The sequence below is a fragment of the Homo sapiens genome, chromosome 11, assembly GCF_000001405.40.
Source record: "Homo sapiens chromosome 11, GRCh38.p14 Primary Assembly".
NCBI classification, from domain to species: domain Eukaryota; kingdom Metazoa; phylum Chordata; class Mammalia; order Primates; family Hominidae; genus Homo; species Homo sapiens.
The window spans coordinates 82,902,782-82,926,526 of NC_000011.10; the positions used below are offsets into that span (position 1 = coordinate 82,902,782).

The following is a 23,745-nucleotide window of genomic DNA, read 5'->3' on the forward strand; positions in this document are numbered from 1 at the left end:
CAGAGCACCAAGTAATTATTTGTTTATTCTGCAGATAGTTAAATGCTTCTTTCGTCTGTGCCAAGAATTGCTAGGTACTGAGATCCAATGATGAACAAGGTAGATTCCTGTTCTAATGGAACTTACCTTTTATGGATGGAATTAAGGAGAATTTACAAGGAAACTATGTGAATTAGACTGGTCTAAGAAGACCTTTCCAAGGAGTTGATACTGATGCCTAAAAGATGAGCGTGATCCAACCATGCAAAAGAGGGAAAGAAAAACATTCTAAACAGAGTGAACAGGTTGTGCAAACGTCCTGAGGCAGGAAAGAGCTTGACATGTTAATGTTCAAGAATCTAAGGAAAGACCAGTATAGCTGGAATATATTTAGAAAGGACAGTTGTATGAGATGAGTCTGGAAAGATGGGCAGAGACCGGATCATGGTTAGGAGGTTAATCCAGCACCATAAACAGGAGATAATGGTGATTTGGATTAAGATGATGGCAGAATATATGAGGGAAAAGTGAATGATGGTTTCTAAGTATGGAAGTAGATTCAAGTACCTTCTGATGAGTGTGATGTGGGATATGAAGGAAAGGGAGGAATGACAAATGACTCCTAGGTATCTGGTTTGAGTTACTGGTTAGTGAGTAGTACCATTTACTGAGATGTGACCTTCTCCATCCCTGTAATAAATGTCTCATAAATGATATCAATGGAAAAACTGTATCGTACTAAGATTTTCCTGGTTCATGTTTTTAAAGCATTTTTCATCAGTATTTCTCCTTTCACTGAAGATTTTGTCTCTTTGTTTTTTTGCTTACTTAATTTTCACTCTCCTGCCTGCCTCTCTTACTTTTCTAGAATTTTCGTGTCAATGTTACTAAATTATTTTTTAGGGACTTATTATGACTGCCTTTAGAAAAATTAAACAAGTATGTGCCATTGGAGGAGACCATTAGACAGTGTTAAGAAAACAATTCAAAACAGCCACCCTTCCCATAGCTGAGGCCTCTTGGCCTGTAAAATATGAAACAGAAAATTGGAGAATTACAAGGTGACAAAGATTTTCATGCAAGGCAAGAAGGGTTTGGAGAGGAACGAAGAAAGGGAGAAAAATTAGTCATACTTTCTTTTCTTTATGCCATTAGAAGTGGAACTAGTTTTTTAAAGGAGTAATTTCATCCTTTGGGCACAGTCTTGAAGCAAATACACATAGTTTCTTTCAAGTGTGAAGCTTGAGCAAAGAGAGTAATGGACTAGAAAGACTGGTAAGCTACTCATCAGAAGGCATGAGTTCCAGACCTGATTAACTTCTCTGAGTGGATCAGATAATGTTGCAAAAGCACTTTGCAAACTGTAAAGCAGTCAAATGAACTCAAACTGGATTATGAACTTTAAGATAGGATTCACATCTTATACTTTTATGTTCTCTTCAGCCCCATCCCCAGATGCCAGTTTACACTAAATACTTAATTGAACTTTTTCTCTAGGATCTAACATAGAATAAGAATTAGTTTAGATTTTCTAATCTAACCCAGTTTTTCTAGATCTTCTAGTCTAGCCGGAAGAAGAAAAAAAGATGTGTTGGTATGTGCATGTATGGGCACGGTTTTTCATAAATGATTAAGTTGCCTTCTGAGAACTTGATTATGAGGTAGTTAAGCTGAAAGATCACCAAATAATGGATTAGAGTAAAGAATTGCAAAATCATCCAAATGAGACTAAGATGCTGTCAGGCCTTGGGGATTTAACTATAACCATGTTTATCACAAGTGTTACACACCATGAGATAGTCTCAATGACTAGGCTACTGGTTTTCAAGTGTGGGCAATTTGGCCATTACCTGGGAACTTAAAATGCAGATTCTCAGGCCCTTATCCCAGACTTACTGAATCAAACTCTGGAGTTGGAGCCCAGCAATCTGTTTTATCAAGCCTTCTGGGTGATTTTGATATATGATAAAGTTTGAGAAATACTTGTCTAGTATGAAAATGGGATGCAGAGGTTGTAATCAATGAGTTTATATATCTGGTACCACTGACAAAACCATCTCTAGAATGAAAAATGCATCAGGCATTAGCTTGATTCCATTAAATAGTTGATTCACCAAACAGCTCTTCTTCAAGCAACTTTCTGTTTATAATTTTAGTATAATATGAGGTTATACCAAATATACAAATATGGGCTTCTGATATGTCCCTTCCCTGTGATGGTAATTTTTCGTGGTAAATTAGTAGAACATCTTTGGATTACAGTTCAGCTCCCCATATGGCTTGTCTAAAAGGAGAGAAAGCAAGTATTCCAGAATATCCCATGGTAAATTAGATATGTACTATAGTGTGTCCACATGGACCCCACATATTTTAATAAGCATAAGTCTATTGGAGCCTTCATTCCTGGACATTGACCTAGGTAATCCCTGGTATGTGCCCTTTGAAAAATCAAAGGCCAACTGAGGCCTTAATTAGTTCTGCCCCAACACTTACACTTTTGTCCCTCTTTCTACCCTCATTTCTACTTTTATGTGTGAGAGATTTAAAGAAAGCAAGATTTTCTTTGTATATTATTGCTAATGTCCCTATCCAGCATTTTTATAGTATTTATTGATTTTTTTCTAATTATAAAAGCAATACACTTAGATTGTATTTATTGATTTTTTCTAATTATAAAAGCAATACACTTAGAAAATATCTTAAATATATAAAGAAAATAAAAATCGCCCTTAACACTACCACCCTGAGAAAATACTTTTTAAAAATAAGATTATATACTTTCCTAACTATCCTCTTCTCTTTCCCCATTCCTCCCATCAAAAACTAAATTAGTCCCCCTGTTATATTTTCTCATGGCACTATGCATTTCCAAAATAGAATTTGCCAGAATTGCAGTTAAATTTTTTGTGTGATTATTTTAATGTCTGTCTCTTACACTAGACTGTAAGTCTAGTGACTAGGTAGGGACCTTGTCTGTTTGTCCATCAATCACACTATCCCCACCTAGCATTTAGCAGCTGCACAACTAATAACTGATGAATAAATAAATATGTTCGCATATTAAATTGGGATATGGTTTGCTGTGATGGAGCTGAAAGAAATGTAATACTATATCATCATCCTTCCCAATAAATGTGAAAAGAAAGATAAACTGCAAAAGATACCACATATGAAATTGTTCCCAAGTGTATCATCATATCTTCCTAATTTTAGTATTTACTTATTCCTGATGTTTCATTCAATTATTCATCAGACATGCATCCACTATACTGCAAGTCAAGCAGTAGAGAGAGACAGAGAAATAAAACAAAGTATAAAAACACCCCCAGAGCCTAGGTAAATAAATAAATAAATACAAAAATAAACTAGGTGGCAAGTATGAAGGAAATATTATGAAAACACCAAAGGAAATTAATTAACAGTAACTGTCTGAAACGATCTTATTCTATTATTGTCCAACAGACAATAAATGGGAAGCCTTTTTGCCATTTTCTGGGGTTCACCAGGTGAAATACAAATAGTAAAAATACTAATGATCCCTTTCATTACAGTTCTCAAATTTGCTGTTTTTATAGATTTTTAGACTTACTTATTTGATCCACTAGAGGGCAGTAAACCCTTAAATAAAGACAATGTAACCAACCTTCCTTTAAAAGTATAGTAATAAGTGCTGGCACAATTAATTTAGAAATGAACCCAAAATTTCCTGCTTATTTAAGTTTTTCATTTATTAGTGAGTTGTCTGCCCAATTAGCAATTTTTTTTAGGACAGACAGTATCTTATTTTCACTTAGCCCAGTGTACGAGTCATGTTACAAGTTTATTACATTTCCTAAAGTTTGAATAACAATTGTGTAAAGAACATGATTTGATGAATGCCCATATTGTTGTGGTACAGTATAAAATTCTGTTTTAGAGCCCTAAAGAAAATAGTCTCTGCTCACAATATGAACAGAAGTAAAAAAATTAGAAGTGAGGATAAGATGTAAGTAATGATTAAAATAAGTATGAAATAAGGTACTATATATGAAACTAGGCTGTGTACTTCGTATACAAATAGAAGATAATTTTATGATTTGGTAAAATTGTGTTTTATATTTAACGCTATGTGACAAAATTGTGGCTTGGGAAGAGGAAATGCAAATCATGAAGATTAATATCTGAAGTTCAGATTGACAATTTCTGAGCTTGGCACTGAAGATATAAACAGATAGTCCTTCTACGATCTTACTTTGAGTCCAGGAAAAACAAGCCATATTGAACAGATAAATTTAATATAATGTGGCATGTGATGAATTAAAGAGTAATTTAACTTCTGGGAAAACGTCCTAGAAAAGAAGACTTCTAAGAAGGATCTTAAAGAATAATAAGCATTACCAAGAGAATGAAAGCATTTTAGAGAGAAGAATGGAAAAAAGCAAAGGCATAGAAATGTGAAACATATTGTGGGGGTGGGGAAGCAAGGAACACAACTCAGATTGTTTCTCTTGGCATAAATTACTAGCACATAAAGAGCAAAAAGAAAGTTAAGAGAATAGGCATTAGGGAGAATAAAACCAAATAGACAATACACTACAATAGACAAAACAAATGGTAGGACTACAGAGGTACAATAGTATATGGTGTAGAAAAAAAGAAAAGCCATTCCCTTTGTTAATAAAGAAAGACTTTTTAGGGGAACTTCAAATGAAATAGGAAGAAAATTCTGGTTATCGTATGGCGTCTGCCTACTCTGTTGTAAAAATTTTCTTGAATTGCAAAATTCTGCTTATAGTTCTTCATTCATGCAATAAATTTTGTTTTGAGACTAGTCTTTGTTGCCCAGGCTGGAGTGCAGTGGCGCAATACCGCGCACTGCAGCCTCAATCTCCCAGACTCAAGTGACCTTCCCACCTCAGCCTCCTGAGTAGCTGGAACTACAAGCATGCACCACCATGCCCAGCTAATATTTTTTATTATTTGTAGAGATGAGTTCTTGCTGTGTTGCCCATGCTGGTCTCAAACTGGTGGGCTCAAGCAATCCTCCCACCTTGGCCTCCCAAAGTGCTGGGATTATAGGCCTGATCCACCACACCTGGCCCCATTCAATAAATATTTATTGTGAACTTACTGTGTACTGAGCACTGTTCTAAGCACTGGGGTTACAGTAGAGAACAGGGTGGACTAGGTCCCCGTCTTTATGAAACTTAGGCTAGTGATGGGTAGATGAACAAAAATAAGTAAGCAAAGACATACATAGGATGACTATCCAGCAGGGTTAGTACCATGAAGGATAAAACAGGTGATGCCATAGAAACTAAGAGGAAGGAGGATTCTACTTGAGCTAAAGTGGGGCTCTCTGAAGGGATAACATTAGAGTTACAGATTGAAGGACAATAAAGAACCGACTATTCCAAGACCTAAGGGAAGAATATCGTAGCCAAAGAGAATAGTAAGCACAAAAGCCTGAGAAGGGAAATCGTTTGGTGTGCTTGAGGAGCAGAAAGAAGGCCAGCATGGCTTGAAATACAGTGATTGAGGAGGAGAGTGGTACAAAGTGAGGTCAGGGATTGGCAAGATCTACATGACCCAGGGCTGCACAGACCATTGTGAGATATTGAGGCTTCATTCTAAATAGCAGGATTTTAAGCAGGTAAGAGACAGCATGTTCAGGAGTGAGCTTTATGCTCTTTTAGCTCCCCTAACTCACAGGTAGATGTACCTCCATACTAAACCCTACACTAAATTGGATTTTAGAATGTGGAGGACAATGCCTTTGTTGACATAACATCATTTGTTATGTTAACTAAAAGTTATAGGAGGCCTTTGTTTTGGACTAAGCTCCTGCACTAGGCCCCAGTGGACCAGACTAAAAATCAAAATAGAGTCATTTATACTTAAAGTTCCACCTCACCAAATCAAAACTACATTGTTATCTGACCTTCCTAGAACTCAGAAGAGAGAAATAACCAAATTTCCCACATGTGCCAGTTTCAATTGTCATAACAACGAACTTCGCTCTGCCTTTGATGCTTACAACAAAAAGTAGCCTTATGTTAACCAGTTATTCCTGTATTTTTCTGTTCCTCTGTTCCCACTTTAGGAGGAAAGTAACTTTGAAATGACCAAGCTGCTTTTTGTTCTTTGTTTCTACTTTCTTTAGCCCTTCTCTTTCTGTAAAACTGAACTTCTCTGCTCAGCCCCTTGGGTCACTTACTCTATTTTATGGAATAAAGTATTTCCCGATTCTAGAATTGTTACAGGAAAGTAGTCCCAATTCAGACCCCCAGAGAGGCTTCTTTGATCTCGCACAAGAAAGAATTCAGGGCAAGTCCATAAAGTGAGAGCAAGTTTATTAGGGAAGTAAAGGAATAAAAGACATAGAACAGCCCCGAGGGCTGCTGGCTGCCCATTTTTATGGTTATTTCTTGATGATGTGCTAAACAAGGGGTGGATTATTTGTGCCTCCCCCTTTTAGACCATATAGGGTAACTTCCTGACGTTGCCATGGCATTTGTAAACTGTCATGGCGCTGGTGGCAGTGTAGCAGTGAGGACAACCAGAGGTCACTCTCATCACCATCTTAGTTTTGGTGGGTTTTAGCAGGCTTCTTTACTGCAACCTGTTTTATCAGCGAGGCCTTTATAACCTGTATTTTGTGCCGACCTCATATCTTATCCTATGACTTAGAATGCCTTAACCGTCTGGGAATTCAGCCCAGTATGTCTCAGCTTCATTTTACCCAGCCTCTAGACAAGATGGAGTTGCTTTTTTATTCAAACACATCTGACAGAATCATAAATAAAGCCAATTAAGATCTTTCACAAAATTGTTGTAATTTTGTCTTTTGACAGTTGCAATGGCAAGGAATTTGAGGTTTTAGCACTTACAATGGCAATTTTCTTTGACCCTTCTTTCTGCCTTTCCTTTGTATCCTGTATTACCTACCCTACCATGTCCTTTGAGATTGCCATGTAGCCTAAGGTGACAACCAAATCTAGGAATACATAATCGGCTTTGGCAGAACCTTACTAATGTATATATAAGAGTCCCAACAAGGATAGCAAAAAATTAGGATTAGCGTTCTCTTTTCTGTGCTCCCTTCAGTAATACAGATTAGTGATTTATTTAAATTATTTATCTTTCATCTGTAAATTTCCATCTTATTACCTTGAGTGGCAAGATTTTATTTTTATAGAAATGTTATTTTGATTGACTATCAGAATTAGTATCACTTTAACATCTCCCTTCCATAGTCACCACATTTCTATGTTTGTCATCATCTTTAGAGTACTATACCGAAAAGATTTTATTATTTTAAAACCAGTGACCTCCACTTTGTCAGTTTGCTGATGCCAGTGTCAAAAACAGCATCACCCATTTCAGAATTGAAAGTTTTTGCCATGTGTTTAAAAATGAAAGTTTCTTAATACAGCTTTATCTCAAACAGTTACAAAGACCTTTGTTGTAAGGCATGTATTTTATGTTATATGTTTTATGTTATGCTAATCCATTTAAAAAATTAGTAAACAAACCAACCTTTTTTTTTTTTTTTTTTTGAGACAGAGTTTCACTCTGTGGCCCAGGCTGGAGTGCAGTGGCATGATCTCGGCTCACTGCAACCTCCGCCTCCCAGGTTCAAGCAATTCTGCCTCAGTATCCTGAGTAGCTGGGATTACAGGTGCACACCAGGCTAATTTTGTATATTTTTGATAGAGATGGGGTTTCACCATTTTGGTGAGACTGATCTCAAACTCTTGACCTCAGATGATGTGCCTACCTCGGCCTCCCAAAGTGCTGGGATTATAGGCGTGAGCTACCACACCCTGCCACAGATCAAGCTTTTAATTTTTTCTCTCTCTCTCTCTTTTTTTTTTTTTTTTTTTTTTTTTTTGAGAACAAGTCTCACTCTTTCACCCAGGCTGGAGTGCAGTGCCATGAATACAGCTCACTTCAGTCTTTACCTCCTGGGCTCAGGTGATCCTCCCACCTCAGCCTCCCAAGTAGCTGGGACCACAAGCTCATACTACCACGCCTGACTAATTTTTTTTGTTTTTTGGAGAGATGAGGTCTCACCGTGTTGCCCAGGCTGAATTTTTAAAAAGAAAGTATAAAGAGGAGAACATTGCTACAGGCATACCTTGGAGATATTGTGGGTTGTGTTTCTGACCACTGCAATAAAGCAAATATTGCAGTAAAGCAAGTCACACAAATTTTTTGGTTTCCCAGTGCATATATTAATAAAATGTTTACACTATACTGTAGTCTAAGTATGCAATAGCATTATGTCTAAAAAATACATCTTAATTAAAAAACACTTTATTATTAAAAAATGTTAATGATCATCTGAGCCTTCAATGAGTCATAATTTTTTGTGGTGGAGGGTCTTGCCTCAGTGTTGATGGTTGCTGACTGCTTGGGGTGGTGGTTGCTGAAGGTTGGGGTTGCAGTGGCAATTTCTTAAAATAAGACAACATTGAAGTTTGCTGCATTGATTATTCCTTTCACAAAAGATTTTTCTGTACCATGTAATGCTGTTTGATAGCGTTTTACTCACAGTAGAACTTCTTTCAGAATTGGAGTCAATCTTCTCAAACCCTGCCACTGCTTATCAACTAAGCTTATGGAATATTCTAAATTCTTTGTTGTAATTTCAACAATGTTCACAGCATCCTCACCAGGAGTAGATTCCGTATCAAGAAACTACTCTCTTTGTTTATCCATAAAAAGCAACTCGTCATAAGTTCATGCCTTATCATGAGATTGCAGCAATTGAGTCACATCTTCAGGCTCCACTTTTTAATTCTAGATCTCTTGCTATTCCACCACATCTGCAGTCACTTCCTCCACTGAAGGCTTGAACCCCTCAAAGTCATCCATGAGGACTGGAATCAGCTTCTTCCAAACTCCAATTAGTGTGGATATTTTGACTTCCTCCCATAAATCATGAATGTTCTTATTAGCTTCTAGCATGGTGAAACCTTTTCAGAAGATTTTCAACTTACTTTGCCCAGATCCATCAGAATAAGCATTATCTATGGCAGCTATGGCCTTAGGAAATGTGTTTCTGAAATAATAAGACTTGAAAGTCAAAGTGACTCATTGATCCATGAGTAGAGAATGGATGTGTTAACAGGTATGAAAACAATATCAATCTCCTTGTGCATCTCATCAGAGCTCTTGGGTGACCAGGTGCGTTGTCAATGAGCATTAATATGTTGAAAGGAATCTTTTTTTCTGAGCAGTAGGTCTCAACAGTGGGCTTAAAATATTCAGTAAATCATGCCATAAACAGATGTGCTGTCATCCAGGCTTTCTTCTTCCATTTCTAGAGCACAAGCAGAGTAGATTCAGCATAATCCTTAAGGGCCACAGGATTTTTGGAATGGCAAATGAGCACTGGTGTCAGTATCAAGACACCAGCTGCATTCACCCCTAACAAGAGAGTTAGCCTGTTCTTTGAAGCCTTGAAGCCAGGCACTGACTTCTCTAGCTATGAAAGTCCTAGATGTCATTTTCCTCCCATATAAGTCTGTTGTGTCTACATTTAAAATCTGTTGTTTAGTGTAGCCACCATCATCAACTAGTTAAGATCTACTTATCTTAACTAGATCTTTTGGATAACTTTCTGCAGCTTCTACATCAGCGCTTGCTGCTTTACCTTGCAGCAAGTTATGTTTTATGTTTTGGAGGTGGCTTCTTTTCCTAAACTTCAAGAACCAGCCTCTGCTAGCTTCAAGCATTTTTTTCTGCAGCTTCCTCAACTCTCTCAGCCTTCATAGAATTGAAGAGCATTAGGGTATTACTCTGGATTAGGCTTCGATTTAAGGGAATGTTGTGGCTCGTTTGATCTTCTATCCAGACCACTAAAATTTTCTCCATATCAACAAAAAGGCTGTTTTACATTCTTACTTATGTGTTCACTGGAGTAGCACTTTTAATTTCCTTCAATAACATTTCCTTTACATTCACAACTTGGCTATTTAGCACAAGAAACCTAACTTTTGGTCTGTCTCGGCTATCAACATGCTTTCCTCACTAACCTTAATTTTTGTTTCTGTCTTTTATTTTAAAGTGAGAGATATGTGACTCTTCCTTTCACCTGAACACCTAGAGGTCATTGTAGGGTTAATAACTGGCCTAATTTCAATATTGTTGTGTCTCAGAATAGGGAGACCCAACAAGAGGGAGAGAGATGGTGGGGCAGTCAGACACACATTTATAGATTAAATTCATCTTATATAGGTACAGTTTGTGGCACCCCAAAACAATTACAATAGTAACATCAAACATCACTGATCACAAGTCACCATCAGATATAATAAAAATGAAAACTTTTGAAATATTGTGAGAATTACCAAAATGTGAGATGGAAGGTGAGCACATGCCACTGAAAAAGTGGACTTGCTTGAGACAGGGTTGCTATAAACCTTCAATTTGTAAAAAAAATGTAATATCTGTGAAGCATAATAAAGTGAAGCATAATAAAATGAGGTGTGTCTGTATTTTATTATTTGACTTCTCTGATTTTGTTTATTTGGAGATAGGGTCTTGCTCTGTCACCCAGGCTGGAGTGCCATGGCATCATCATAGCTCACTATGGCCTTGATCCTCCTGCCTTAGCCTCCCAAGCAGCTGGTATTACAGGTACGTGCCACCACACTCAGCTAATTCTCTTATATTTTTGTAGAGACAGTGTCTCCCTGTGTTTCCCAGGCTGGTCTTGAACTCCTGGGCTCAAGCAATCCCCCCACCTCAGTCTCTGAAAGTGCTGAGATTACAGACATAAGCCACCACACTTGGCCTTCCTGATGTGTTTTATACAAGGATATTAAAACACTTTGAGCTATCATTTGACATGTAACATTTTGCTTTTTCTGTTTACAAAATCTGAAGTCTTTTTTTTCTCTTCAAGATGTATCAAATGAGCACACTGAAATCTAATAAAGTGATATTTCAGCTAAAAAAGAACAATTTCCACCAATTTAGGTTCTTTAAAAGATTCATGTAAGTTCATGTACACATTGAATATACCTTATCTGAAATGTTTGGGTCCAGAAGTCTTGTGAATTTTGGATTTTTGAATATTTGCACATAATTAATGAGATGCAGGAATGGGACCCAAGTCTAAACATAAAATTTGTTTATGTTTTATATACATCTTATACACATAGTCTGAAGGTAATTTTATACAATACTTTTTTTTTTCTTTTTTAGATGGAGTTTTGCTCTTGTTGCCCAGGCTGAAGTGCCATGGTGCAATCTCGGCTCACTGCAACCTCCGCATCCTAGGTTCAAGCAATTCTCCTGCCGCAGCCTCCTGAGTAGCTGGGATTACAGGCACCCCCCACCATGCTCAGCTACTTTTTGTATTTAGTGGAGATGGGGTTTCACCATGTTGGCCAGGCTGGTCTCAAACTCCCTACCTCAGGTGATCCGCCTGCCTCGGCCTCCCAAAGTGCTGGGATTACAGGCATGAGCCACCACGCCCGGCCACAATACTTTTAATAATTTAGTGCATGAAACAAAGTTTGTGTTAAGTACTTATGTGTGGAATTTTGATTTGTGCCATCATGGTGGCACTCAAAACATTTCAGATTTTGGGTTTTGGACTTTCAGATTCAAGATGCTCAACCGGTAGTTTCCTTTGTATTGATGGCAGACACAAGTTGTGTATCTTCTTGTAAAGGTGTGAAGAAGCTAAATGACATCTTTCCTGAATTACTGGGATAGAGCATTTATTAAGAAACAGGATACAAGAATTTTCTTAAACTACTCTGTTTTAAATGTGATTTTCTTCCTATTAATATTTTAAGGAGAAAAAGAATTAATTTTCCAATACATTGATACCACCTTCACTTTGAAAGTGAAACAAATGACATCTATTAGCTTTGCAGTAGAGGTTAAGTGGTTTTCCTAAGAAAAGAATATGCACTGCAATGAAAGATTTGCCAGTCATCCCAATGGCTATTTTGTTTTGCAGACCACGGTGTGAACACATGAACAGAAGACGAAAATTTCTTCTAGCCTCAGTACTTGCTCTCCAGAATTCAAGTTTTATATATCCATCATGTCAGAAGTGCTTCTCTAGGATAATCCTGGTCTCCAAAAGGTAAAAGTAAAGTCTGTAAGTGTGAGAGAGGAAATACAAATGCACACTGTAGATTTCCTATGGCTCAAGGGCAAGGACCAGATTTACCAAACAAGGACATTAGATTCTCTCAGGGGTTGGTTCTTCTGTAAATCCCAGAACAGATTTCACTGCTAATCCTCTATTACTAGAGAAAAGTTTTAAGTTACTGTCAAGTCCTTTGCTAAATACTTGCCTCATTGAAGAAAAATAACTTCTCAGAGAGTAAGTTCCAATACTGGGTACAAAACTTAGCCCATTTCTGGGATATCCCTGGGAATAATATAGGAGACTTGTGTTTATTCTTTGTTTATTTTTGCATGATCAGTAGAATAGTTGTTAATATAAATAAATAAATTCCTTGAGACCAGGGACTATGTTATAGTAATTTCTATCCTTTAGCAACTAGAAAGGTGTTTGGCGTATAATTCTTTATCATGGTGCTCAGATGCAAGCCAACTATACCTGAGAGCCTAAGGTCTTCCTCTGATCTTTATAGAGTAGAAACGAGAGGTTAGGTTTGAAGTTTCTCCAGAACACTGTCTCTCTGCATCGAAGAGAGGACAAGAATACCTAGTAAGTAACTAGAACTATGTAAGAAAGAGTAGTGTGCCAGCAATATTCTTAACTAGTCTTTTTGTCTAGTTAGCATTGAATGGGGAGGCAGAAAAGGATTGGCAGTTCTAACTCATATCTAGACTCTAAGTAATCCTTGAAGTAGTTATCACACTGTTCCTTTATTAAGCCACTCTCTCAAGCACTCATTTGTTAGCTCTAAGAGAAAGACCCTGTTTGTGTTATTCATCATTAAATCCTTGGCTAGGGCTTAGTTCATAGAAAGTGTTCAACAAATGTTGGTTAAATGAATGAATAAGTGATAGCATGATAGTGTTTAGATTGTCTTAGGTTCACCCCTTTTCAGGTTCTTGCCTGTCATCTGAAACAACTAAAACCCATGGGCTATTTGCCTTTCATCAAAATCTGTACTTAGAAGCAGTGTGGTATACAGTCCTTACTTAATGTTGTTGGATTCTTAGACACCGCAACTTTACGCAAAATGATGTATAATGAAACAAATTTTTTTCTCATCAACGTTATAATGATGTTGTTTGAGAATCTGCTATAAGTAGTTTTGCTTAAAGTCACAGTATCCAAGAACCTATCACTAACATTAAATGAGGACTTACTGTAATGGAACAATTTCAAGCTTCAGAGAACACAACAGAGTTTCATGTAGGCTCTGGCTCTCATTAACTATGTGACCTAGGGCAAGATAGTTAACTTCTGTGAGTCTAATTACTCATTTGTAAGGTGGGATCATGGTACCCACAATATGGGATCATTGTAAAGTTAGAGATAATGCACAGAAATGTTCTAGTAGAATACATAACATATATTAGGATTTCCAAAGTGGTAGCTATTATTATTATAATCTATTATAAGTATACTTTACCTTATTGCAGTATGTTATCATGATTAAAAGCATAATTCTCTGGAGCTGACTGCCTGGATTCAAATTGCAACCCTGCCATTATAGCTGTGTGGCCTTGGGCAAGTCACTTTAATTATCTGAGCCTCAAAATGGGGAAAGTAATATCTGCCTAATAAGGTTCTTGTAAGGATCAAATAGGTTAATATACATAACATGCCTAGAACATTGTCTGATACATTATCAGTAATATATAGATATAAAATATTTTTAAAACTCTTTCTTTCCAGTCATTTATTTTAAAGATAATCTGCAACAAAAATTTAGGTTGAACAATAATGCCATTGTTACTTATTTAGACGGGTAATACCAGTAGATAACATTAGTGAGTGTTTGCTGTACAGTAGGCACTGTGCTAGGAACTTTGTGGGCATTATATCTTTTAATACAATAGCCCTATGAAGTGAATGCTATTGTTAATGCCAACCTTTAAAGGAGACAACTGAAGCTTGGGAAAGTTAAGTAACTTACCGCAAATCATCACACAGCCAGCTAGTTAGGGGCAGAAACATATTCAAGCCTAAACAATCTGAATTCTGTCTACCTTCATAGTCACCATATTACTTCCAAATTAGCAGCGAAGTTTGTATTCAGAATGACATCTTCCCCTCTCTTTCTTAGAACTTAAAGTGACCTCGGAAAGGACTTGTGACTGGACCCTTTTGGAATATAAAACCCATGGCACATAGTCCTTGCCTATGGAAACATAGTCCATGGAAATATAACCTGTTTTCTGCATATACTACATTGACACAAAAATTTTTTAAAACTATTTCCATAATTTCTGGTGCTTACCTTTTTTTCCCATAGGTTATTGGGGTACAGGTGGTATTTGGCTACATGAGTAAGTTCTTCAGTGGTGCTTTGTGAGATTTTGCTGCACCCATCACCCGAGCAGTATACACTGCACCCTATTTGTAGTCTTTTATCTCTCACCCCCTCCCACCCTTCCCCCCAAGTCCCCAAAGTCCATTGTATCATTCTTATGCTTTTGCATCCTCATAGCTTAGCTCCCACATATCACTGAGAACATATGGTGTTTGATTTTCCATTCCTGAGTTACTTCACTTAGAATAACAGTCTCCAGTCTCATCCAGGAGACTGCAATGCCATTAATTCATTCCTTTTTATGGCTGAGTAGTAGTTCATCGTGTATATATACCACAGTTTCTTTATCCACTCATTGATTGATGGACATTTGGGTTGGTTCCACGATTTTGCAATTGTGAACTGGGCTGCTATAAACATGAGTGTGCAAGTATCTTTTGCATATAATGACTTATTTTCCTCTGAGTAGATACCCAGCAGTGGGATTGCTGGATCAAATAGTAGTTCTACTTTTAGTTCTTTAAGGAATCTCCACACTGTTTTCCATAGTGGCTGTACTAGTTCACATTTCTACCAGCAATGTAGAAGTGTTCTCTGATTGCTGCATCCACACCAACATCTACTGGTTTTTGATTTTTTGATTATGGCCATTCTTGCAGGAAGAAGGTAGTATCGCATTGTGATTTTGATTTGTATTTCCCTGGTCATTAGTGATGTTGAGCATTTTTTCATGTGTTTTCTTGGCCATTTGAGAATTGTCTATTTATGTCCTTAGCCTACTGTTTGATGGGATTGCTTGTTTTTTTCTTACTGATTTGTTTGAGTTCGTTGTAGATTCTGGATGTTAGTCCTTTGTCAGATGTATAGATTGTGAAGATTTTCTTCCACTCTGTGGGTTGTCTGTTCACTCTGCTGACTGTTCTTTGGCCATGCAAAAGCTCTTTAGTTTAATTAAGTCCCAGCTATTTGTTTTTATTGCATTTGCTTTTGGGTACGCCAATGTCTAGAAGGGTTTTTCCAATGTTATCTTCTAGAATTTTTATAGTTTCAGGTCTTAGATTTAAGTCCTTAATCCATCTTGAGTTGCTTTTATATAAGATTCATTCTCCTACATGTGGCTAGCCAATGATCCCAGCACCATTTGTTGAAAAGGGTGTCCTTTCCCCACTATTGTTCACTTTGTCAAAGATCAGTTGGCTGTAAGTATTTGAGTTTATTTCTGGGTTCTCTATTCTGTTCCATTGGCCTATGTGCCTATTTTTATACCAGTACCATGGTGTTTTGGTGACGATGGCCTTATAGTACAGTTTGAAATCAGGTAATGCGATGCCTCCAGGTTTGTTCTTTTTGCTTAGTCTTGCTTTGGCTGTGCAGGCCATGTTTTGGTTCCATATGCATTTTAAAATTGTTTTTTCTAATTCTGTGAAGAATGATGGTGGTAGGGATTGCACTGAATTTGTAGATTGCTTTTGGCAGCATGGTCATTTTCACAATATTGATTCTACCTATCCACGAGCATGGGATGTGTTTCCATTCATTGTGTTGTCTATGATTTCTTTCAGCAATGTTTTGTAGTTTTTCTTGTAGAGGTCTTTTGCCTCCTTGGTTAGGTATCTTCCTAAATTTGTTTTTTTTGTGTGGTTTTTTTTTGTGTGTGTGTTTTTGTAGCTGTTGTAAAAGGAGTTAAATTCTTGATTTGACTCTCCACTTGGTTGCTGTTAGTGTATAGAAGAGCTACTGATTTGTGTACATTAATCTTGTATCCAGAAACTTGGCTGAATTCTTTTATCAGTTCTAGCAGCTTTCTGGAGGAGTCTTTAGGGTTTTCGAGGTAAACAATCATATTGTCAGCAAACAGTGACAGTTTGACTTCCTCTTTACTGATTTAGATGCCCTTTCTTTCTTTCTCTTGTCTGATTGCATTGTCTAGGACTTCCAGTAGTATGTTGAAGAAGAATGGTGAGAGTGGGCATCCTTGTCTTGTTCCAATTCTCAGAGGGAATGCTTTCAACTTTTCTCCATTCATTGTTATGTTGGCTGTGGGTTTGTCATAGATGGCTTTTATTACATTGAGGTATGTCCCTTGTATGCCACTTTCGCTGAGAGTTTTAATCATAAATGGATGCTGGATTTTGTTGAATGTTTTTTCTGCATCCATTGAGATGATCATGTGATTTTTGGTTTTAAAATTCTGTTTATGTGGTATATCACACTTATTGACTTATGTATGTTAAACTGTCCCTACATCCCTGGTATGAAACCCACTTAATCATGGTGGATTATCTTTTTGATATGTTGTTGGATTCAGTTAGCTAGTATTTTGTTAAGGATTTTAGCATCTATGTTCATCAAGGATATCGGGCAGTAGTTTTCTTTTTTGCTTATGTCCTTTCCTGATTTGGGTATTAGGGTGATGTCGCCTTCATAGAATGAATTAGGGAGGGTTCCCTCTTTATCTCATAGAATAGCGTCAGAAGGATTGGTACCAATTCTTCTTTGAATGTCTGGTAGAATTCTGCTGTGAATCCATCTGGTCCCAGACTTTTTTTCGTTGGTTTTTTTTGAGACGGAGTCTCACTCTGTCGCCCAGGCTGGAGTGCAGTGGCGTGATCTCAGCGCACTGCAAGCTCTACCTCTCTTCACGCCATTCTGCCTCAGCCTCCTGAGTAGCTGGGACTACTGGTGCCCACCACCATGCCCAGCTAATCTTTTGTATTTTTAGTAGACAGGGTTTCACGGTGTTAGCCAGGATGGTCTCGATCTCCTAACCTCATGATCCGCCCACCTCAGCCTCCCAAAGCGCTGGGATTACAGGCGTGAGGCACCACGCCCGGCCTTTTGTTGGTAATTTTTTAATTCCCATTTCAATCTTGCTGCTTATTATTGGTCTGTTCAGGGTATCTAATTCTTCCTGATTTAAGCTAGGAGGGTTGTATTTTTCCAGGAATTTATCCATCTCTTCTAGGTTTTCTAGCTTGTGTAAAGGTGTTTGTAGTAGTCTTGAATGATCTTTTGTGTCTCAGTGGTGTCAGTTGTAATATGTCCCGTTTTGTTTCTTAATGAGGTTATTTGGATTTTCTCTCTTCTTGGTTAATCTTGCTAACGGTCTATCAATTTTATTTATCTTTTCAAAGAGCCAGCTTTTGGTTTCATGTATCTTTTGTATTTGTTTTTGTTTCAATTACATTTAGTTCTGCTTTGATCTTGGTTATTTCCTTTCTTCTGCTGGGTTTCGGTTTGGTTTGTTCTTGTTTCTCTAGTTCCTTGAGGTGTGACCTTAGAATGTCAGTTTGTGTTCTTTCAGTCTTTTTGATGTAGGCATTTAGGACTATGACCTTTCCTTTTAGCACTGCCTTTGCTGCAGCCCAGAGGTTTTGATAGGTTGTGTCATTATTGCCATTCAGTTTGAAGAATTTTTAAATTTCCATCTTGATTTCATTTTTGATCCAAGGATCATTCAGGAGCAGCTTATTTAATTTCCATGTATTGGCATGGTTTTGAAGGTTCCTTTTGGAGTTGATTTCCAGTTTATTCCACTATGGCCTGAGAGAGTGCTTGATATGATTTCAATTTTCTTAAATTTATTAAGGCTTGTTTTCTGGCTTATCACATGGTCTATCTTGGAGAAAGTTCCATGTGCTGTTGAATAGAATGTGTAATCTGCGGTTGTTGGATGAAATGCTCTGTATATTATCTGTTAAGTTCATTTGTTCCAAGGCATAGTTTAAATCCATTTTTTCTTTGTTGACTTTCTGTCTTGATGACCTGTCTAGTGCTGTCAGTGTAGTATTGAAGTCCTCCACTATTATTGTGTTGCTGTCTATCTCATTTCTTAGGTCTATTAGTAATTGTTTTATAAATTTGGGAGCTCCAGTGTTAGGTGCATAAATGTTTAGGATTGTGATATTTCTCGTTGGACAAGGCCTTTTATCATTATATAATGTCCTTTGTCTCTTTTAACTGCTTTTGCTTTAAAGTTTGTTTTTGTCTAATATAAAAATAGCTACCCCTGCTTGGTGTCCATTTGCACAAACTGCCTTTTTCCACTCCTTTACTTGATGTTTATGTGAGTCCTTATGTGTTAGGTGAGTCTCCTGAAGGCAGCAGATGGTTGGTGAGTTCTTATCCATTCTGCTATTCTGTATCTTTTAAGTGGAACATTTATGCCATTTACATTCGATGTTAGTATTGAGATTTGAGGTACCATTGCATTCATTGTGGTATTTGTTGCCTGTGTACCTTGTTTTTTTTGTTTTTGCTTTTTAAATTGTTTTTGTTTTATAGGTCCTTCATGATTTATGCTTTTAAGAGATTCTGTTTTTGATGTGTTTCCAGGATTTGTTTCAAGATTTAGAGCTCCTTTTCACAGTTTTTTTCTTTCTTTCTTTTTTTTTTTTTTTTTTTTTTTTGAGACGGAGTTTCGCTTTTTCGCCCAGGCTGGAGTGAAGTGGTGCAATCTCGTCTCACTGCACCCTCCGCCCCCCCAGGTTCAAGCAATTCTCCTGCCTCAGCCTCCCGAGTAGCTGGGATTACAGGCACCCACCACCACGTCCAGCTAATTTTTGTATTTTTAGTAGAGACAGGGTTTCACCATGTTGGCCAGGCTAGTCTCAAACTCCTGACCTCAGGTGATCCACCCGCCTCAGCCTCCCAAAGGGCTAGGATTACAGGCATGAGCCACTGCGCCCAGCCTAGCAGTTCTTGTAATGGTGGTTTGGTAGTAGCAGATTCTCTCAGCATTTGTTTGTCTGAGAAAGACTGTATCTTTCCTTCATATATGATGTTTAGTTTCACTGGGTACAAAATTCTTGGCTGATAATTGCTTTGCATGAGGAGGCTTAAGATAGGGCCCTAATCCCTTCTAGCTTGTAGGGTTTCTGCAAAGAAATCTGCTGTTAATCGGATAGGTTTTCCTTTATAGATTACCTGGTGCTTCTGTCTCACAACTCTTAAGATTCTTTCCTTTGTCTTAACTTTAGATAACCTGATGACAGTGTGCCTAGGTGATGATCTTTTTGTGATGAATTTCCCAGATGCTCTTTATGCTTCTTGTATTTAGATGCCTAGGTCTCTAGCAAGGCCGGGGAAGGTTTCCTCAATTATTCACCCAAATATGTTTTCCAAACTTTTAGATTTCTCTTATTCCTCAGGAACACCGATTATTCTTAGGTTTGGCTGTTTAACATAATCCCAGACTTTTTGGATGCTTGGTTCATAATTTCTTATTCTTTTTTCTTTGTGTTTGTTGGATTGGGTTAATTTGAAGACCTTGTCTTCAAGCTGTGAATTTCTTTCTTCTATTTGTTCATTTCTATTGCTGGGACTTTCCAGAGCATTTTGCATTTTTGTAAGTGTGTCCAGTGTTTCCTGAAGTTTTGATTGTTTTTCTTTATGCTATTTCCTTGAATGTTTCTCCCTTCACTTCTCGTATTGTTTTTTGGATTTCCTTGCGTCAGGCTTCGCTTTTCTCTGGTGCCTCGCTGAATTCTTTTTCAGGTAAATCAGGGATTTCTTATTGGTTTGAATCCATTGCTGGTGAGCTAGTGTGATTTTTTTTGGAGGTGTTAAAGAGCCTTGTTTTGTCATATTACCAGAGTTGGTTTTCTGGTTCCTTCTTATTTGGGTAGGCTCTGTCAGAGAGGCAAGGTCTAGGGCTGAAGGCTGTTGTTCAGATTCTTTTGTCCCACAGGATGTTCCCTTGATGTGATACTCTCCCCCCTTTTCCTATGGATGTAGCTTCCTATGAGCCGAGCTGCAGTGATTGTTATCTCTCTTCTGGGTCTAGCCATCCAGCCAGTCTGTCTGGCTCCGGGGTGGTATTCAGGGTTTGTCTGCACAGAGTCCTGTGATGTGAATCGTTTATGGGTGTCTCGGCCCTGAATACCACACAGTATTTGGGGTGTCTCCCAGGTCCTGCAGGAGCAGTCCACTTCCTTCAGAGGGTCTGTGGGTCCTCTTGGGATTCCTGGTTTGTTCTTGCAGTTGTTCTGGAGCTAAAATTCATAGTGCGAGCCCCAACATGCTGCTTTGTCCGAGTTGGAGCTGCAATCTAATCCTGCCTCCCATCCGCCATGATGATCTAAATCCTGGTGCTTATCTTTTCTACTGTTGTTTTTGCTTTCCCTTTTTCTTACTTGGAATCAGTTGTAAGCCAACACAGGAAACAGAAATTCCTCATGTTCATTTCCCCATTGCTATAGCACTGCAAGCTTATGACAGAGGAGTTCCATGCTCTTGCCTTTGCAGAAGATCTTAGAGATGCTGAAGAACAGAGAGACGTCCCTAAATATTTTCTTTGAACCTGAAATTTTTAGTGACTATAATCATAATAAGTATTTTGTGCTTTATGGAATTAACTTTCTTACCTCCAAGATCAGATCAGTAGATTGAATGTAGTTTTCAATCTATAGGTATTCTGCAGAGCCTTGGGGCTCCATGGAAGTGCTTATGGAGGGAGATGGGATTAGAGTAGTAATAGTACCTAGTGCTGAGTAGTAGGTAAGACTCTAGGGCCCCCACGTTAGTTTCAACAAGATCTCTATTCTCATCCTTATATTAGTGTTCCAAGTTAAATTTCATTTGAAAGGGGGTTTCATTATGTAAATATACAAACATAGACATACATCTATAAAAAAAAATGTGTACAAAGTTAGTTCGGTCCTTCATATGAAGCAGTAACTACACATACACACACAATAGTGTATGTCTGTACTCTCCCCAGATTATAAGCTGGAGAAGGGATTTATTTATCCAGACAAGCTATCTACATAGAAATTGCCCTTCTGGGTGACTAATGGGACCCATAATTCCTTTTAGCCTAGAAATCCATTTCTAACACTAATAACTTTCTTTTCCTATCTTAAAATAGGACTCATCGCTCAGAGGCTACCTATCCTCTCCCCCATTCCCAACTACCCAAAAAGTTTATATCATTTACTTAAGCAAGTCAAATTTAATTTCACACATATAGATCATAGTTTTCTTACTTTGTGGGGGAAGTGATATGTGGAAGCATTAAGAGATATGTTTTTTAAAATATGTCTCATTACTTTGTGTGTATTTAATCTGGGTCTATAAACTTGGAAAGGGATGTTATATAATCATATAGTCAGGATATTCTTAAGCTGGAATCTGTGGATACATTATAGGTATGTATGACTCCTCCAGTCCCTAAGATATGTAGAATATCGTGTTCATATCTGTTTTTTGTGGGGAGAGAGTGAGTCCATTGCTTTCATCAGATTTTTTAAGGTTTTCAAGACTAAGAAAACATTAAGGATTACTTATCTCACCAGTTCTTCTACATCTGGGCTAAATATAAGTACGCTAGAAAAATAAACAAATGAGGCTGGGCATAGTAGCTCATGCCTGCAATCCCAGCATTTGGGAGGCCAAGATGGGAGGATTGCTTGAGTCCAGGATTTTGAGACCAGCCTGGGCAACATGGTGAAACCTATCCTCTACCAAAAATAAACAAAATTAGGCAGGCATCGTGGCATGTGCCTGTAGTCCCAGCTGCTCAGGAGTCTGAGGTGGGAGGATCGCTTGAGCCTGAGCGGTCAAGGCTTCAGTGAGCCAAGATCATACCGTTGCACTCCAGCCTGGGCAACAAAGCAAGACCTTGTCTCAAAAAAATAAATGAATAAAAATAAAAAAAAAACAAATGAAACTTGGTATTTTTTTAACTGGGATCAAACAAAAAAGATAGCAAATTACAGCTATTATTTCAGATAGATCCTTTCAGAGGCTCCTTGAACTCAAATCTATTTTCATAATTCTAAGGCATTATTTGCCTTTTCACTTTCAGTCTCTCATGAGTGCATAATGGAGTTTCCCAGAGGCTACATAACACGTACTATCACAACAGATTGAGCAGAGAAGCAGATATGAGAATCCAGCTGTCTTTTTATGAAACCAGACATTAAAGAGATTTGCAAAATGTAAAACAATGCTGGTCTCTTCTTACTAATTTTTAAAATTTGAAAAACATAACTATTTTTCATAAAAGTATGTTTTTTGTGTTAACCATGTAAAGGGTCTGTTTTTAATGAATTAATATTTTTTTGATTTCTCAGTTTTAATTTCTCACTTTCATTTAATTTCTCGTTTTATGAGAAATGTAGATAGAAGCCAGGTGTGATGGCTCACGCCTGTAATCCCAACACTCTGGGAGGCCGAAACAAGAGAATCACTTAAGCCTAAGAGTTCAAGCCTAGTCAGGGCAACACAGTGAGACCCCCATCTCTACAAAAAAATTTAAAATTAGCCACATATGGTGGCATGTGCCTGTGGTCCCAGCTACTCAGAAGGCTGAGGCAGGAGGATCTCTTGAGCCCAGGAGTTTGAAGTTACAGTAAGCTATGATAGCACCACTGTCCTCCAGCCTGGGCAGCAGAATGAGACCCTGTCTGAAAACAAACCAAAAAAGAAATATAGACAGATATAAGATAAACAAGTTCTATGGATCTAATGTACAGCTTGAGTGGTAATGGATGATGTGTTAAATAATTCGACTATGGTAGCCAGGTGCGGTGGCTCACACCTGTAATCCCAGCACTTTGGGAGGCCGAGGTGGGCGGATCATGAGGTCAGGAGATCGAGACCATCCTGGCTAACACGGTGAAACCCTGCCTCTACTAAAAATACAAAAAATTAGCTGGGTGTGGTGGCGGGCACCTGTAGTCCCAGCTAATCGGGAGGCTGAGGCAGGAGAATCGCCTGAACCCAAGAGGTGGAGGTTGCAGTGAGCCAAGATTGCACCACTGCACTCCAGCCTGGCCAATAGCGAGACACTGTCTCAAAAAAAAAAAAAAATTTTGACTATGGTAATCATTATACAGTGTAGACGTATTTCAAATCACCATGTTGTATACCTTGAATATATTCAATCTTTGGCAAGTAATTTTTTTTTTTTTTTTTGAGACAGGGTCTGGCTCTGTCACCTCCAGACTGGAGTTCAATGGCACAATCTCAGCTCACCACAACCTCTGCCGCCTGAGCTCAAGCAATCCTCCCATCTCAGCTTCCTAAGTAGCTGGGACTACAGGCGCATGCCACCACGTTCGTTAATTTTTGTATTTTTTGTAGAGACACAGTTTTGCCATGTTTCCCAGGCTGGACTCGAACTCCTGAGCTTGAGTGGTCTGCCCGCCACAGCCTCCCAAAGTGCTGGGATTACAGGTGTGAGCCATCACGCCTGGCCCAAGTAAATATTTTTGAATAAAAAAAATAGATACTATTCACATAAACAAAACTCTTTGATATTCTCAATAATTTTTTAAGAGTATTAAAGGAGTGTGAAACCAAAAAGTTTGAAAACTGCTATTCTGTAACAAATGAC

General features: G+C 38.0%; 1 protein-coding gene across 5 annotated transcripts in view, besides 1 other annotated feature; it reads left to right on the forward strand.

Annotated features, from left to right (window-relative positions):
* DDIAS (DNA damage induced apoptosis suppressor) overlaps nucleotides 1-23,745 on the forward strand; it is a 32,924-nt gene that overhangs the window by 1,046 nt on the left and 8,133 nt on the right. Inside the window, exons 2-3 of one of the 5 annotated variants that reach the window (XM_024448400.2) lie at nucleotides 10,502-10,605; nucleotides 11,942-12,070. In XM_024448400.2, the coding sequence (XP_024304168.1) occupies nucleotides 11,958-12,070 (113 nt within the window). In that variant the 5' untranslated portion in view covers nucleotides 10,502-10,605; nucleotides 11,942-11,957. Of the gene's footprint in view, nucleotides 1-10,501; nucleotides 10,606-11,175; nucleotides 11,390-11,941; nucleotides 12,071-19,803; nucleotides 19,902-23,745 lie in introns of those variants that run through there. The other 4 variants (NM_145018.4, XM_011544836.3, NM_001363481.2 and 1 more) reach the window with 4 other exon arrangements.
* Nucleotides 22,197-22,246: a silencer, noted in NCBI's record as "silent region_3818". NCBI's record gives its function as "represses an Ori minimal core promoter by ATAC-STARR-seq in GM12878 lymphoblastoid cells {active_cell/tissue: GM12878}" and the evidence as "EXISTENCE:reporter gene assay evidence [ECO:0000049][PMID:35858748]".